This window comes from Homo sapiens, chromosome 19 (genome assembly GCF_000001405.40).
Source record: "Homo sapiens chromosome 19, GRCh38.p14 Primary Assembly".
NCBI classification, from domain to species: domain Eukaryota; kingdom Metazoa; phylum Chordata; class Mammalia; order Primates; family Hominidae; genus Homo; species Homo sapiens.
The window spans coordinates 43,866,497-43,884,076 of record NC_000019.10 but is presented as its reverse complement, the minus strand read 5'-3'; the positions used below and the strand labels follow the sequence as shown (position 1 = coordinate 43,884,076).

At 36.2% G+C, this 17,580-nt stretch overlaps 1 protein-coding gene across 1 annotated transcript; it reads left to right on the top strand.

The window, feature by feature from the left end:
- The first annotated feature begins 112 nt into the window (after positions 1 to 112).
- Positions 113 to 11,712, top strand: ZNF404 (zinc finger protein 404). The gene is made up of 3 exons (NM_001033719.3): positions 113 to 121; positions 3,941 to 4,067; positions 10,000 to 11,712. The coding sequence occupies exons 1-3, from the start codon at positions 113 to 115 to the stop codon at positions 11,520 to 11,522; spliced, it is 1,659 nt and encodes a 552-aa protein (NP_001028891.2). The 3' UTR covers positions 11,523 to 11,712.
- The last annotated feature ends 5,868 nt before the right edge of the window (positions 11,713 to 17,580 follow it).

Below are 17,580 nucleotides of genomic sequence, written 5' to 3'. Positions count from 1 at the left end.
AGTAAAGTTACGTATCTTTTGGCAGGTGATGCCTTGATTACCTAGCTTTGGCTTCTCTGAACTCTGCTTCTCTGATAGAGGAAACCTGAAGAGAACTAGCATTTCTGAAACCATGGCCCGGGTGAGTTGATGTCTCTTTTGCTTTTCTGACTTATTGTGATTTTTTAATTCATGTAATATTTTCATTTTTTTAATCCTGAAACCTCCTATCTCAGAAAGCTCTCTCTTGGAACCTATTTCACATTCCTCCCATTCCAGTGATGGATGATGTCCTCCTCATTTGCCCTCCTTTTTTGAACTGATTTTCACTTATTTTCAAATAATTCATCCATCTTCTGTGTGTTCAGTCTTCTCTCAAGAGCAGTGTTAGAGCAGTGAAAGAGTGAAGTACCTTGAAATAGTTGAGCTGCCGTTGTCAGGTTCATGGTTTCGTGGCATAGGAACAATGGTCCTATTTGACTACAGGAGTGGAAACTTTCTCCACAGCTCCCTTATCTCCACAGTTAGATAAGGGAAAACTTGGTTATGAGTGGTCTCAGTCTGTTTGAGATGAGATCTCAACTTTGAAACGCATTTAGGTTTGAGTGAAGATGGGATTATCACTTACCTAGAGAGAGATTAGGGATCTAGCTAAGGGATCACTGAGAAATGAAAACAATTCCAGGGTCCCATTTTGTAGTGGAAGAGAAATTGACAGTCCTGAGGGAATCAAGGTTGTTCTGGATCATTCTGCATTACTGTGTTCCAACTCAGGAACAGATCTATAAAGAGTTGTAGAAAGGAAAATCAACTAGAATGATATGTGGTAGATGATATTGAACTATGGGGAAGAGGTTGGAATTTGTGTCCAACATACATGCCATATTAGTATAATTCTTTATACAATAATATTATTTTTAATAATAGTGCCTTAATACCTTAAGAAAGATGAATCTAATAAGAGGGTGCTTGTCACTTGATTCTTTTTTTTTTCTTTGAGATGGAGTCTCACTCTGTCACCCAGGATAGAGTACAGTGGCGTTATCTTGGCTCACTGCAACCTCTGCTGCCCAGGTTCAAGCGATTCTCCTGCCTCAGCCTCCCAAGTAGCCAGGATTACAGGCACCTGCCACCATGCCCAGCAAATTTTTGTATGTTTAGTAGAGATGGGGTTTCACCATGTTGGCCAGGCTGGTCTTGAATTCCTAACTTCAAGTGATCTGCCCACCTCAGCCTTTCAAAGTGCTGGGATTACAGTCATGAGCCACAATGCCCAGCCTCTTTTTAATTTTTTTTTTTTTTTTTTAGAGATGGGGTCTTGCTCTCTTGCCCAAGCTGGAGTGCAGTTTTGTTATCAAGGTTTACCGCAGCCTCAAACTCCTGGGCTCAAGTGATCCTCCCACCTCAGCCTCCCAAAGTGCTGAGATTACAGGCATAAGCCACCATACTTGGCCATTTTTTCATTCTTTTAACTGAATTTTGAAGAGCAGAAGTTTTTAATTTTTCAAAGTGATAATACCATTTTACATTCCCACCAACAGTGTATGAGAGTTCCATTTCTGGATGAAATCCAGTTTATCAGCTTTTTCTTTTCTTTACAGATTGTACTTTTTCTTTAGGGATTGTACTGTTGGTGTTGTATCTAAGAAATCTTTGCCTCACCCCAAGCTTATGTAGATTTTTATACTGTGTTTTCTCATAGAAGCTCTATAGTTTTATGTTTTATGTTTATCTCCATGTGCCATTTTAAGTTAATCTTGGCATATGGTACAAGGTATGGATAATTTATTTTGCATATAGATATCCAGTTGTTCCTACACCATTTTTTTAAAAGACGGTCCTTTATCCACTGAATTGCCTTTAGTCACTTGTTTAAAGCCAGTTGTCTAGATACGTGTAGGTCTATTTCTCAACTCTGTTCCATTGACTTATTTGTCTACGTTTATGCAAACACCACATACTCTTTATTATTGTAGTATTACGTTAAGCTTTCCAATTAGTAGGGTTGATCCTCCAACTGTGCTCTTCTTCAATGTTGTCTAGGTTATTCTAGATCCTTTGTGTTTTCATCTGAATTTTAGAATCACCTTGTCTATTTTTACAAAAGCTCTGCTGGGATTTTTTTTTTTTTTTTTTTTTTGAGACAGAGTTTCACTCTTGTTGCCCAGGCTGGAGTGCAATGATGTGATCTTGGCTCACTGCAACCTCCACCTCCCAGGTTCAAGCAATTCTCTTGCCTCAGCCTCCTGAGAAGCTGGGATTACAGGCATGCGCTACCACACCTGGCTAATTTTGTATGTTTTAGTAGAGACAGGGTTTCTCCATGTTGGTCAGGCTGGTCTCGAACTCCCAACCTCAGGTGATCCGCCTGCCTCACCCTCCGAAAGTGCTGGGATTACAGGGGTGAGCCATCGCACCTGGCCTCTGCTGGGATTTTGACTGAGATTTTGTTGAATCTGTGGATCTGTTTGCAAAGGTAAGAGTCATCTGACTGATGAACATATTATAGCTTTCTATTTGTTTAGATCTTTTAAGTTTTTTCTCAGTAATTATTTGTAGTTATGAGAGTATTAGTATTGTCATCTTTTGTTAGATTGATTCCTAAGTATTTTATATTTTTCATTTGATATTCAGTATTTTTAATTTTAATTTCCACCAATTGTTGCTAATTAAAATGCCATTTATGTTTAACATATTGAGCTTGTATCTTCTCAGCTTGCTAACTCACTTGATAGTTTTAATGAATTTTTATTAGATTCTATTAGATTTTCTATATAGACAATCATGTTATCTGTGAATAAAGAGATTTTTACTTCTTTTTCAATCTAGATGCTTTTTATTTCTTCTTCTTGCCTGAGTTGCACTGGCTAGAACCGCTAGTACAATGTTGAATAGAAGTGGTGAGAGTAGATATCCTTGCTATATTCCTGATTTGGGGAGGAAAGCATTCAGCCTTTCACTATCAAATGTGATGTTAGCTATGGGTTTTTTATAGATGTCATTCATTGGGTTAAGGATGTTCCCTTCTTTTCTTGTTTCACCAAGGATATCAGCAGTGGATGTTGGCTTTTGTCAGATGCCTTTTCTGCATCTATTGATATGTTCATACGGTTTTTCTTTTGTAGTTTGTGAATATGGTGCATTACCTTGATTGATTTTTAAATGTGAGACAGGCTTGGATTGAGCCTTGGTCATAATAGAGTTCCCTTTCTTATATACTGTTAGATTTGATGTGCTAAAACTTTGTTTGGAATCGTTGCATCTGTGTCCATGATGGATATTGGTTTGTACTTTTCTTGTTCTCAGTGGAATCCAGTGGGCTTTGCTTAGGTTCCCGCTCCCTGTGCCACAGCCTAGAAATTGTCTCCTTACAGTAAACTAGTGTGACTGTAGGTTTCACCTCATTTGTTACTTGTCTTTCAGGTATCATTGCGCAATGTTTTCTGTCTTGAAAACCATGGTTTAATATATTTTGTTCAGATTTTCAGTTGTTTCATACAAGAAGGTAAATTCAATCCCTGTTATTCCGTGTTGGCTGGAAAAGATTTTATAATACAATTGGGGGAGGGGGTAGTTATCAATTCATGGTTTTTCATATTCCTCGAAGAGAAAAGCTGTAACAACTTGTATTTATTAATATTATATGGCTTAGGTACGTAGAAGGTATTGTGCTTATATATACTATTTAATTTGGAAAGTTTGGTGACTTCATTTATTTTTATATATTTGGATTTTTCTCTAATATTACTAAGAAAATTTTGTGTGCTCCAACAGGATTCCTTAAGATTGTGTGGGCACTCTACTTAAGACATGCTAATTTATTTACTCTTATCTAACCATGTCATCATCTTGTAACTCTAGACTACTTCTTTTTACATATTGCCCCTTTATTGCAATTTAATGTTCCATCTTGAAAAGTCTTCTTTACTTTTACAAATAATACACAGGTTTGTCATTTCAGGTGCCATTGACATTCAGCGATGTTGCCATAGACTTCTCTCAGGAGGAGTGGGAATATTTAAACTCGGATCAGAGGGATTTGTACAGAGATGTGATGTTGGAGAATTATACTAACTTGGTCTCATTGGGTAAGAATATCTGCACAAAATGATGTACAATATGCTCTCTAGAATATCAGCCTTCTCTGTTGTATATTTTATGGTCTATGCCAAGAAACCAGCTACATTTCTGCTCCATATTCTCAAAGTTTGTTAGGTGGAAATGGGCATATTTGAAGTTTGTTAGGTGGAATGGGCACCCCCATTCAGCACCTGAATCTTCACTATTCTTCACTTGCCTTTATGCCTGCCTCTGCCCTGTCCTATAATTACTTCTTTTTCTAAATGACTAGAGGTTTGAATTCTGGTATTTTTCTGCAAAGACACTATCAGCAAAAACAAATTTTAAATTATATGTGTGTTCAGAATGTCTGTAAATACTTTAATTGCTAATCTTCCTACATAAAAAACCATGGTTTTCTCTTTACCACAAAAGAGCCTCCATAATTTTTATAGTAGTAGAATGAATTAAGATTATTCTCTTTTTTACTGTTATTTTTGTAGTTCTAGCAGTTGGCCTGTTGGCTTCCAGTGATCTGATAGATTCCATGCAGAAGGGGCAGTCTTTGTTCAGTTTTTGGAAGATAGGTGACCATTCTCTCCTCCCATCTGGGACTTTAATTACACCTATGTTAGACCTTTTGAGCATATCCCACAACTTTTTCATGTCCTTATCTGCTTTTCTCCTCTCTTTCCCCTCTATTTTTCATATGATGGAGTTTGAATGTTTCCTGTTGACCTGTATTCCAGCTCACTTATTCTGTTTTCTAAAGAGGGGTTTTTCATGTCAGATATTGTCTTTTTCAGTTCCAGAAATTCAATTTAATTCTCTTTTATAACTTCCAAATACTTGTTGAAATCTTCATTCTTTTATTTGCTTTCCTTTTATTACTAAATTTTCATCTGTTTTCTTGGAACATTTTAATCATAGTTAATTTTTTAATTCTTTTATGCCTCATTTTTTGTATCATCTGGGGGTCTGCTTCTTTATTGTTTCTTTCTTTTAATCTTGTTATTTGTCATTTGTTAATGCATCTTCAAGTTACTAGTAGTTGTGATTGTATGCTGGGCATTGCATATAAAATAACTGAAGAGGTTTCAGATGATGCTATCTTCCACCAGAGGGTATTTATGTTTTCCTCTGTTAGTCTGATAGAATGCAGGCTGATGACAGTAATACAACCAGGAATTAAATGGGTCACTGCTGGTTTTCAGTTTGATAATGCTCAGCTACCTCTTTGTAAACGCTGTTCTTTTAACTCCTGCTGTACTTAGAATCAGGGAGTTTTTTCAGGGGAAAAGTAGTTGTAGAGCCTTAGGGCCAACTTACCACTCCTGGCTGGTGGAAACAGGAACTATCCCCTAACTACCCTTGGTGACTTTCAGGTATTGTTCTGCCTACCCCTATATGGTGGTGCTTTCCTTTGCCTCATTAGTTTGCTCACATGTAAATTCATATCAGTACTCAGCCAGAGCCTCCAGGGTAGTTCCATCAGAGTGAACAGGCAACCTACAAAATGGGAGAAAATTTTCGCAACCTACTCATCTGACAAAGGGCTAATATCCAGAATCTACAATGAACTCAAACAAATTTACAAGAAAAAAACAAACAACCCCATCAAAAAGTGGGCGAAGGACATGAACAGACACTTCTCAAAAGAAGACATTTATGCAGCCAAAACCACATGAAAAAATGCTCACCATCACTGGCCATCAGAGAAATGCAAATCAAAACCACAATGAGATACCATCTCACACCAGTTAGAATGGCAATCATTAAAAAGTCAGGAAACAACAGGTGCTGGAGAGGATGTGGAGAAATAGGAACACTTTTACACTGTTGGTGGGACTGTAAACTAGTTCAACCATTGTGGAAGTCAGTGTGGCGATTCCTCAGGGATCTAGAACTAGAAATACCATTTGACCCAGCCATCCCATTACTGGGTATATACCCAAAGGACTATAAATCATGCTGCTATAAAGACACATGCACACGTATGTTTATTGCGGCATTATTCACAATAGCAAAGACTTGGAACCAACCCAAATGTCCAACAATGATAGACTGGATTAAGAAAATGTGGCACATATACACCATGGAATACTATGCAGCCATAAAAATGATGAGTTCATGTCCTTTGTAGGGACATGGATGAAATTGGAAACCATCATTCTCAGTAAACCATCGCAAGAACAAAAAACCAAACACCGCATATTCTCAGTCATAGGTGGGAATTGAACAATGAGATCACATGGACACAGGAAGGGGAACATCACACTCTGGGGACTGTTGTGGGGTGGGGGGAGGGGGGAGGGATAGCATTGGGAGATATACCTAATGCTAGATGACGAGTTAGTGGGTGCAGCACACCAGCATGGCACATGTATACGTATGTAACTAACCTGCACAATGTGCACATGTACCCTAAAACTTAAAGTATAATAATAAAAAATAAATAAATAAATAAATAAAAATAAAGTAAAAGGGGAAATCTGATCCCTCTTAATGTTTCATAACTAAAAGCACAAGTTATTTTCTGTTATCTTTAAAAGCTTCTTTGCATTTTAGTACAAGAGGTTCCAGATTCGCCTTGTATCTTCCCTCCCTGAACTAGGAATTAGCTATTTCTCCAAGGCACCCTAGTTCACATTAATGGGAAATAGTATATAGAGACCGAAGCCTGGCCAACAGGGAGCTAACTAATTGTGACCAGCTGTTTGTGGGGAAAAATATTTTAAATTTTTTTTCTATTTTTTTCATGGAAATTGGTCTGTTTAGATTTTCCATCTCTTCTGGAGTCTATTTGTTGTTATTGTTTTACTTTCATTTTGAAATAATTTTAGAGTTATAGACAAGTTACAAATGTGGTACCACAGGTTCCTATAATGATAACATCTTACATAATCATGGTACATTTATGCAAACTAGCAAGTTAACATTGTTAACAAAACTATAGGCAAACTATTAGCAAAACTATAGATTTTATTCAGTGTACCAGTTTTTCCACTGTCCTTTTTTCTATTCCGTGATTCAATCCAGGATATCACATTGCATTTAGCCATCATGTGTTTTAGTTTCCTCCTACCTGTGACAGTTTCTTTGTCTTTCCTTGTCCTTTCTGGCCTTGATACTTTTTGAAGAGTACTAGTCAGGTATTTTGAAAAGTGCCGGACAATTTGGGTTTGTTGAATTTTTTATGATTAAACTGGGATTATCGGCTTTGGGGAAGAATACCAGAGAAGTAGCTTTCTCATCATATTGTATCAGAAATACATGATATCAGCATGATTTATTGCTGAGGTATTAACCTTATAAATTTGTTTAAGGTGATGTCCGTCATTTTTCTTCACTGTAAAGTTATTATTTTTCCCTTTTCATATTCTGTTTGCTAGAAGCCAGCCAGTAAGTCTAGCTGGTGTCACTTTTGATAAATTTTATTTTCAGGAAGATTCATCATTTCATGTACATTTGAAATATATTAGCACAGTTGTATGATTTTTTTAACATTCTTTATTTCTTTATTGATGGTCATTTCCCCCTTGTCATTATATTTGGATTTTCCCTCCTATCTTTTATTCCTTAGGTATAAAGGAAATAATGGTTTGTATGTGTTAATTCTACTGTTTTATTTAAATTTTGCTTGTATTATATTTTTCTTTTCTGCAGTCCATCATTCTTTTCCTAATGTCTCCCTAATTTTTATTTATATTTATTTATTTATTTTTGAGACAGAATCTCACTCTGTCGCCCAGGCTAGAGTACAGTGGCGCAATCTCAGCTCACTGCAACCTCTGCCTCCTGGGTTCAAATGATTCTTGTGCCTCAGCTTCCCAAGGAGCTAGGACTATAGGTGTGTGCCACCACACCTGGCTAATTTTTGTAATTTTAGATTTCCTATTGTTGGCCAGGTTGGTCTTGAACTCTTGGCCTCAAACAATCTGCCTGCTTCGGCCTCCCAAAGTGCTGGGATTACAGGCATGAGCCATTGAGCCTGGCTGTTTTCCCTAATTTTTAAATGAAATGCTTCATTTATTCATTTTAATTCTTTTATTTTTAATTAGATGTAAGCATGTTAATCTTTGAGTTTGCCTTGGTGCATTATAACTGAAAGCCATAGATTCTGATATGTAGTATCTCCATTATCACTGTCTTCAAGAAATTCTACAGTTTCAGTTTGTATTTTGTCTTTGACCTAAGAGTAGTTGTTGAGTACTTTCTGTTTATAAATAGGAAGTGTTTTGGCTGTTTGATATTGCTACTTATCCTTTATTGCATTGGCTCAGAGGATAACATCTGTATTATTTTGACTTTTTAAATTTATACTTTTTTCACAGAATTCCACTTGTTTTCAATACTTGACCCATTTAGCATATTAGATTTCAAAGGCTGCTCCCTCACACAGATTATCAATCTTCAGCCTACGTCCAATATATTCTTTGTTGCAAACTACTAGGCACTCAGTTTCCTAGACTCTTGCCCCATTTTTTACTTTATTTTTCCCAATATCCCCAGGTTTATTTGCTTTGACTTTGATAAGCCTTTCAATATATTAATTCGTGCAATTCCTGAAAAATTACTGAGATGCATTTCTGTAGAATTCAAGAATGATCCACCTTGGCTTTAAATGAATAGAAGGTAGAATTTGGGAAAGGCATTGAAGAAACACAACAGATTGAAAATGTGTAGAATGAAAAGAAGTAAAACCTTCAACCTTACAGGCATTATTTGTAGATTTAAAAAAAAAATTATTTAAAACATTACAGTAAAAATTAATGCAACACGTGATTACTTTGATTGAGATAGAAACAGAAAAGCATGGCTATGCAAAGGAAAGAATGAACACCAGTGGTAGAGGCATGTATATTTTTAAGGGGACAGGTTATTGCAGAATGGCCACATATCAGCCTTTTCCACTTATATTCTTGACTGAGCTATTTTGGAAGTGCATTTTTCTCACCTGTAAAGTAAATGTGAGGTAAAAGATTAATAAGGAGTGAGAGATTGGAGTCAGGGAGAGATACCTGATAATTTTTACATAATTTTCAGAAATGAAATGGTTAGTTTACTCAGCTCTCTTTTCCAATGACCTTTATTTTCATCCAGTTTACATTTTTAACTCAACATTTCATTCTACAATGAATTATGTAATACTTACCAATGGTAGGGACTTGTTTTTCAATGGGAGTTGAAAGAAGATTTGCACCTATGCTATGTTTTAGGGTAACAAAATAAGTAGTAAAACAAATGAGATTTAGTAAATATGTAATTGAGAGAAGGAGTATAAAGGCAAATAATTGGGAAATGGAATCTAGACTTAAAAATATGAATTTACTTAAAGTTAGCCAATTATTTAAAGAAGCCACTTAAGAGGATTTCTGAAAGGTGGAACATCTATGTAACACCCCAGGAGATGGGAAAGATTTGTGGTGTGTTCTCACAGCTGAAAAGATGCAATGTGGTACAATATAGGGAGCAGATATCAAGGGCTTGAAATGAATTTGTGTGGATAAGACAGGGCCTTTTATTCATGGTTATGTGTTTGGTTTTCATTCTAAGATAAAGCCAAACCACTGACAATTATATAGAGAGCAATGTGATAATGTTAGGAATAGAGATATTCAGGACATACTCCTGTGCATTCTGATCCACTCAGTCTGAGTGGATATCTAAAAGATAGTGTATGTAAAATGCTCCTATGGTAATTCTGATTTGCAACTAAATATGAGAACTAGTGACTTTGTCTTTGCCTACTCATAAATCTTACATCCTCCTGTGCACTTTCATAATTTTCTGAGCCCTTCTTGCCTTTTAAAAATTGCATGGCAGTACTTTAGAATTTTCTAAACTCTTTTATTACTAACAGATACACTTTTTAGTTTATCACTATTTTTAATATAGATGTCCTCTCCCTACCCCTATTATTGGAAAATAGCATTTGTTTGTTTTTTCATTTTCTTCCAGACTTTAATTTCACAACTGAAAGCAACAAGTTATCTTCAGAAAAAAGAAATTATGAAGTAAATGCGTACCATCAGGAGACATGGAAAAGAAATAAAACCTTCAACCTTATGAGGTTTATTTTCAGAACTGACCCACAGTACACAATTGAATTTGGGAGACAACAGAGACCTAAAGTGGGATGTTTTAGTCAAATGATATTCAAAAAACATAAATCCCTTCCTCTACATAAGAGAAATAACACAAGAGAGAAATCATATGAGTGTAAGGAATATAAGAAGGGCTTTAGAAAATATTTGCACCTTACTGAACATCTGAGAGACCATACTGGTGTGATACCCTATGAATGTAATGAATGTGGAAAAGCATTTGTAGTTTTCCAGCATTTTATTAGACATCGAAAAATCCACACTGATTTGAAACCCTATGAATGCAATGGATGTGAGAAGGCCTTTAGGTTTTATTCACAGCTTATTCAGCATCAGATAATTCATACTGGTATGAAACCCTATGAATGTAAGCAATGCGGGAAGGCTTTTAGACGTCATTCTCACCTTACAGAACATCAGAAAATTCATGTTGGCTTGAAACCCTTTGAATGTAAGGAATGTGGGGAAACGTTTAGATTATATCGACATATGTGTCTGCATCAGAAAATTCATCATGGTGTGAAACCCTACAAATGTAAAGAATGTGGAAAGGCTTTTGGTCATCGTTCAAGTCTTTACCAACATAAGAAAATTCATTCTGGTGAGAAACCATATAAATGTGAACAATGTGAAAAGGCCTTTGTTCGCAGCTATCTACTTGTTGAACATCAAAGAAGTCATACTGGTGAGAAACCTCATGAATGCATGGAATGTGGAAAGGCTTTTGGTAAGGGCTCAAGCCTTCTTAAACATAAGAGAATTCATAGTAGTGAGAAACTCTATGATTGTAAGGATTGTGGAAAGGCCTTTTGTAGAGGCTCTCAACTTACACAGCATCAGAGAATTCATACTGGTGAGAAGCCACATGAATGTAAAGAATGTGGGAAGACTTTTAAGCTTCATTCATATCTTATTCAACATCAGATAATTCATACTGATTTGAAGCCATATGAATGTAAGCAATGTGGGAAAGCCTTCAGTCGTGTTGGAGACCTTAAGACACATCAATCAATTCATGCTGGGGAGAAACCCTATGAATGTAAGGAATGTGGAAAAACCTTTAGACTTAATTCTCAACTAATTTATCATCAGACAATTCATACTGGTTTGAAACCCTATGTATGTAAAGAATGTAAGAAGGCCTTTCGTTCTATCTCAGGTCTTTCTCAACATAAGAGAATTCATACTGGTGAAAAACCCTATGAATGTAAAGAATGTGATAAGGCCTTTAATCGCAGTGATCGACTTACTCAACATGAGACAATTCATACTGGTGTGAAACCACAGAAATGCAAAGAATGTGGTAAGGCCTTTAGTCATTGCTATCAACTTAGTCAACATCAAAGATTTCACCATGGTGAGAGACTCTTAATGTAATGAGAGGGAAAGCCTTTAGCCATGGCACATTTTTACTGTTGTCACTATTATGATGCTATAGTGAAGATTAAACTAGTTAATATAGAATATAAATACTTGGAAAGGCATCTGGCACATCGTATTTGCTTACTAAATACATTATTTTTATGATAATTGTTAGAATTACTAAAAATAAATCTTATAGAAGGAAGACCCTATGAGTGTGATATTTTGAAAATGCTCTATCATCACTTCATATAATTTATTCTGGACAAAATCCTGTAGAATATATTAAATGAGAAATTTTTAAATTCAGAATTCATACCCCTGAAGATTAATGCTGGAATAAATAATGTGTATTTATTGAATAATGAAAGGATAGCTGTTGAAAATTAGAGAGTGGTTTAAAGAAATTTTTTCACAAATCCTATAATACAGATAACACATATTTTGCATCCTCTACAATTAAAATAAATTAGAAATGAACAGTTAGGTAGCCAAAAGACAGATATTAACTTGGAAAAGTTTTCCCTAAGTTTATGAAAATGTTAAGATTTACATCCTTACAGAAAAGGTAGCTGTTTACAGTGGTGCAGTGAAGGCTTGTTTGCCCTTCACCTAGTTTCAGTACATCTGATGTCTCTCTTTTTTATGTGTATACTAACACATATATACACACAAATACATATATACCATGCATGTCTTATGTCTATGTATATACACAGATGCATATATATATATATCATACTTATTACACATGAATATATGTATATATTACATATATCACTTTTCCTGTTTTTTGAGTGAATGTTTTAGGTATCATTCACCTCTAAAAAAAAGGCAACATACAACTGCTAGGATCAAAGATAATCTTCTAGATGTCTACTACACCATTGTCACAAAAAAATTAACAGTAACCCTATAATGTCTTAAAATATTCACTCCATTTGCAAATTTCTCCAATTTTTAAAATAATGTCTTTTAGCACTGTCTTTTTCACAAGCCAAGAACCAAACTAATCTCATATATTTTATATGATTATGGCTTATTAAGTCTCTTTTAGTCAAGAGCCTACCCTTCATCATTTTGTGACATAGACTTTTTGAAGACTTTAGATTTGACCTAAATAGTGTTGCACATGCTGTGTTTGTCTTATTGTTTCTGGAGGTGTGATTAACTTGTTTCTTTGTCCTCTATATTTACTGTGACCTGGAGGTTATGATTAGAGGCTTGATTGGGTTTCAGATTAAACATTTTCAAAAGACTACTTCATAGATAGTATCATGTACTTAATATTGTAAAGTATCAGGTGGCCTACAAGTGAAACTATGTTTTATCCCTTGATTCATGTATTGACCACCAGCTCCTTCCATTGTTATGGGTGAATTTTTTCTTTGCAATTAAATAAGTAATCCATGGAAAGTCATGTTGGAAATTTGAACAGTCTTCTGTATTCTATTTTTAGAGATGGGGTATTGCTATGTTGCCCAGGCTGGAATTCAGTGGCTATTCACAGATGTTATATAGCACACTACAGCCTTGAACTCCTGAGCTCAGGCAATCCTCCTGCCTCAACCTCTGGAGTAGCTGGGACTATAGGCACACAGTGCTACACCCAGTTGCTTAAAGAAATTAAGATGAAAATCCTCATCTTTTATATTTACCCATATATTTACTATTTCCCATGCTGTTTATTTCTTTCCAGAGATCTGAATTTTTCTCTGGTATCATTTCCCTACAGTTTGAGGAACTTAACTTAGCATTTCTTGGAGTGAACGTCTGCTGGTGATGAATTTTCATAGTTTCTTTTACTGAAATGCCTTTATTTTTTAAGGATTTCTTCTGGCTATAGAATTCTGGGTTGGCAGTTTTTTGGAGATATATGAATATATGTGTGTGTATATGCACACACACAAAGAATACACACACATATATATACTCATAAAGAGATATATATTGTTTCATATATGTATATATAAATCACCGACTTCTGGTCTTCAAGTCTCCATAGTTTACAAGAAGAAGTCATTTGAATTGTTTTTTCTCTTATGTAATGTGTCCTTTTTCTCTGGGTGCTTTCCAGATTTTCTTATTACTTTTGGTTTTCAGCTGTTTGAGTATGAGGTGCCTAGGTATGGTTTTCTTTGTGTTAATTCTGCTTGGGGTACTCTGAGCCTCTGAAATTTGCACACATGTGCCTTTCACCAAATTCCAGAAATTCTTGGCCATTATATCTTCAAATATTTTTTCTGCATTTACTCTACTCATACGTTAAATCTTTTGGTACTGTCCCACAGGTCACTGTCTTTGTTATTTATCTTCAGTATTTTTTTTCTGTTCTTCAGCTTGGACAACTTCTGTTACTCTGTTTTCAAATTCACTTATTCTTTTTCTCTGTCATTTCAGTTCTGCTGCTAAGCCTATCTATCAAATTGTTTAATTTCAGATATTACATTTTTCAGTTCTAGAATTTTCCTTTAGTACTTTTATAGTTCCTATTTCTTTACTAAGATTGCCTATTTCTTCATTGCATGCATCTTTTCACAAGGCTTTTCAGTCCTGTTAAAATCCTCTATATATTGATTCATGCTAGAAAAATATATAAAATCATTATTATGAACTTATACAGTGAAAAGTTTTCATTTCAATGAATGTTCCTATTATTTTCACTAGGTCACGAAAAAAAAGCTTTCCTTTCCTTGGAGTTTCAGATTTTGCTTATTCATATGCAATGTGATACTGGTGAGAAAAAAAATCACTGTCTTCTTTTTCCTTTATTATTAAATATTTGGAAAACTTTCTTTAAAGAAAATCTTGAACTGGAGTTCAAAGTACGAGAAATCTTTGTAAATGTCTTACACCATTAAACAGATGAGCATTGGGAAAGAACATAAGATTAATTGTTCTCTATTTCTTTTTTGTTTTGTTTTGTTATGTTTTTTTGAGACGGAGTCTCACTCTATCACCTAGGCTGGAGTGCAGTGGCGCGATCTCGGCTCACTGCAAGCTCCGCCTCCCAGGTTCATGCCATTCTCCTCAGCCTCCCGAGTAGCTGGGACTACAGGTGCCCACCACCACACCTGGCTAATTTTTTGTAGTTTTAGTAGAGACGGGGTTTCACCGTGTTAGCCAGGATGGGCTTGATCTGCTGACCTCATGATCGCCCCCCTCAGCCTCCCAAAATGCTGGGATTACAGGCGTCAGCCACCAAGCCTGACCTCTATTTCTTTTAACAGTTCCATGAAGTAGTCGTGATTCATAATATTTACATGTATATACTTCATAGGTATATTCTTTATACAGTAGAGCAAAGCAGTTAGGGAGACATCAGTCTCTTGCATTAAAATTCCAAGGAATTCAGATTTTTAACCTAATACAGCTGGTGTATCATCTATTGTGATAGAAATATTTTTTGATACCTAACAGAAATTTTTCTTTGACAGATATAAAAGACAAAAATATCTATGTCATGACTCTGGTTTTGTAGGCTGCGAATTGACAGCTTTTTTTATTTGGGGATCTTTTGAGACAAAATGTACCCACAGTATCAATTGGGCTAAATTATCTTATATTGCACAACTCATATATGGCTAAAGAAGAGTACTTGAAGCTTTTGCTAACTTTGAATTAATTGATCCATGATATTGTTAGAAATATCTTGTATTCTATGAGCAGTTTTTAGGTGACTTAATTTTTTTTTACTTTTTATAAGATCATTTTAGTCTTTCTCAGAATATGCTAACAAGATTTTTGCAACCAAACTAATAATTTATCTTATCTCTATATCCAACATTTCTTTTTTGTGCAAGAATCAGAGCCATTTTATAGCTCAAAAAGGTTATAAACTCAGATTCTGTTTAAAAATTGTTTAAATATTTTGGTTGGACATTTAATTCTAATTTCAGGCAACTAACTTCATCTATTCCATTTTGCTTCTCAAGAGAAAACGTCTCATCAAATTTACTATGTATTTGCTGAAAATGTTTCACAATATTTTTCTCTTTAACAATTTAATTTGTTATGTAATAAACAGCTTTTTTTTTTTGCTCTCTCACAGCAAATTGCAATTGACATTCATCATGAAATTCATAGTATATTATCTTCCAGGCTCATTTTTTACAATTCTGACCATAGTACTGGTCTCCACTCAATTCTGTGTAATATGCCTTCATTTATTTTAAATTTTAAATTTTGTCCATACTTACTTTTCAACCTAGAATAATAATTTAATTATAAAGTACTAAGTATTTCCATTTAATTACTAATAATTATTTCCTTAGTATCACTGTAACTCTTCTTCTTTTTGAAGTATTCAAATAAATACATCAAGGCAGGGCACAATGGCTCACACCTGTAATCTCAGCATTTGGAAGGCTGAGGCAGGCGGATCACTTGAGGCCAGGAGTTCTTGGCCCGGCCAACATGGCAAAACCCCGACGTTACTAGAAATACAAAAATTAGCCTGGTGCAGTGATGCATGCCTGTAATCCCAGCTCCTCAGGAGGCCGAAGCACAAGAATTGCTTGAACTTGGGAGGCGGAGGTTGCAGTGAGCCGAAATGGTGCCACTGCCCTCCAACCTGGGCAACAGAGTGAGCTCTTGTCAAAAACAAAAAATAAAACAAAAAAAAAAACCCAGAGCTAATACTTTCCATGAATGTTTCCACGTAAGGACTCATCCCCAACTCATCAAAAATTCAGAGTATCTGCAACAGGAAGACACTTACAGAACATTTCCATCATTCCTAAAAGTTCTCTCTTGCTTCTTATCTTTCATTCTCCTAAGGCTACTGTTGTTCTGATTTCTATTACAATTAATGTGTTTTACCTTATCTTGATCTTCATGTAAATGGAATCATACATTATGAATACTACTATTCCTTAATTCTTTCATTCAATAGAAAAATTTGAGATTCTGCTATGTTATTCCTTAGATTAGTAGTTTATAGCTTTTTACTATTTAGTAATATTCAAGGTATGAATATACCATAGTTTATTCATCTGTTCTTCTATTGATGGATTTTTGAATAGTTTGCAGGAATTTTTTTATTATAAAATCTCTCCAAATAGATTTTTTAAGATAAAAAATTATTTCCCTCATTGATTTGCATAGGTGACTCTTATAAATCAATTGGTTGTATATATTTGGAATTATTTCTGGAGCCTGTCTTCTGTTACACTGATATATTTAACTTTCCTTATACAAATACTACACTCTATGAAATAGCTTTATATTAAGCTTTGAAACAAGGTAAGCTAAATATCCCAAAGTTTTGAAGATGGCCGAATAGGAACAGCTCCGGTCTACCGCTCCCAGCGTGAGCGTCGCAGAAGACGGTGATTTCTGCATTTCCATCTGAGGTACCGGGTTCATCCCACTAGGGAGTGCCAGACAGTGGGCGCAGGTCAGTGGGTGCGCGCACCGTGCGGGAGCAGAAGCAGGGCGAGGCAATGCCTCACTTGGGAAGTGCAAGGGGTCAGGGAGTTCCCTTTCCAAGTCAAAGAACGGAGTGACGGATGGCACCTGGAAAATCGGGTCACTCCCACCCGAATACTGCGCTTTTCCGGCGGGCTTAAAAAAACGGCGCACCACGAGATTATATCCCGCACCTGGCTCGGAGGGTCCTACACCCACGGAGTCTCGCTGATTGCTAGCACAGCAGTCTGAGATCAAACTGCAAGGCGGCAGCGAGGCTGGGGGAGGGGCGCCTGCCATTGCCCAGGCTTGATTAGGTAAACAAAGCAGCCGGGAAGTTCGAACTGGGTGGAGCCCACCACAGCTCAAGGAGGCCTGCCTGCATCTGTAGGCTCCACCTCTGGGGGCAGGGCACAGACAAACAAAAAGATAGCAGTAACCTCTGCAAACTTAAAATGTCCCTGTCTGACAGCTTTGAAGAGAGCAGTGGTTCTCCCAGCACGCAGCTGGAGATCTGAGAACGGGCAGACTGCCTCCTCAAGTGGGTCCCTGACCCCTGACCCCCAAGCAGCCTAACTGGGAGGCACCCCCCAGCAGGGGCACACTGACACCTCACATGGCAGGGTATTCCAACAGACCTGCAGCTGAGGGTCCTGTCTGTTAG

What these genes read in the sequence shown, in the direction of transcription:
- ZNF404 (NM_001033719.3), top strand. An exon ending in TACTAACTTGGTCTCATTGG is followed by an intron (nt 4,068 to 9,999) that starts GTAAGAATATCT and finishes ATTTTCTTCCAG; the next exon opens with ACTTTAATTTCACAACTGAA.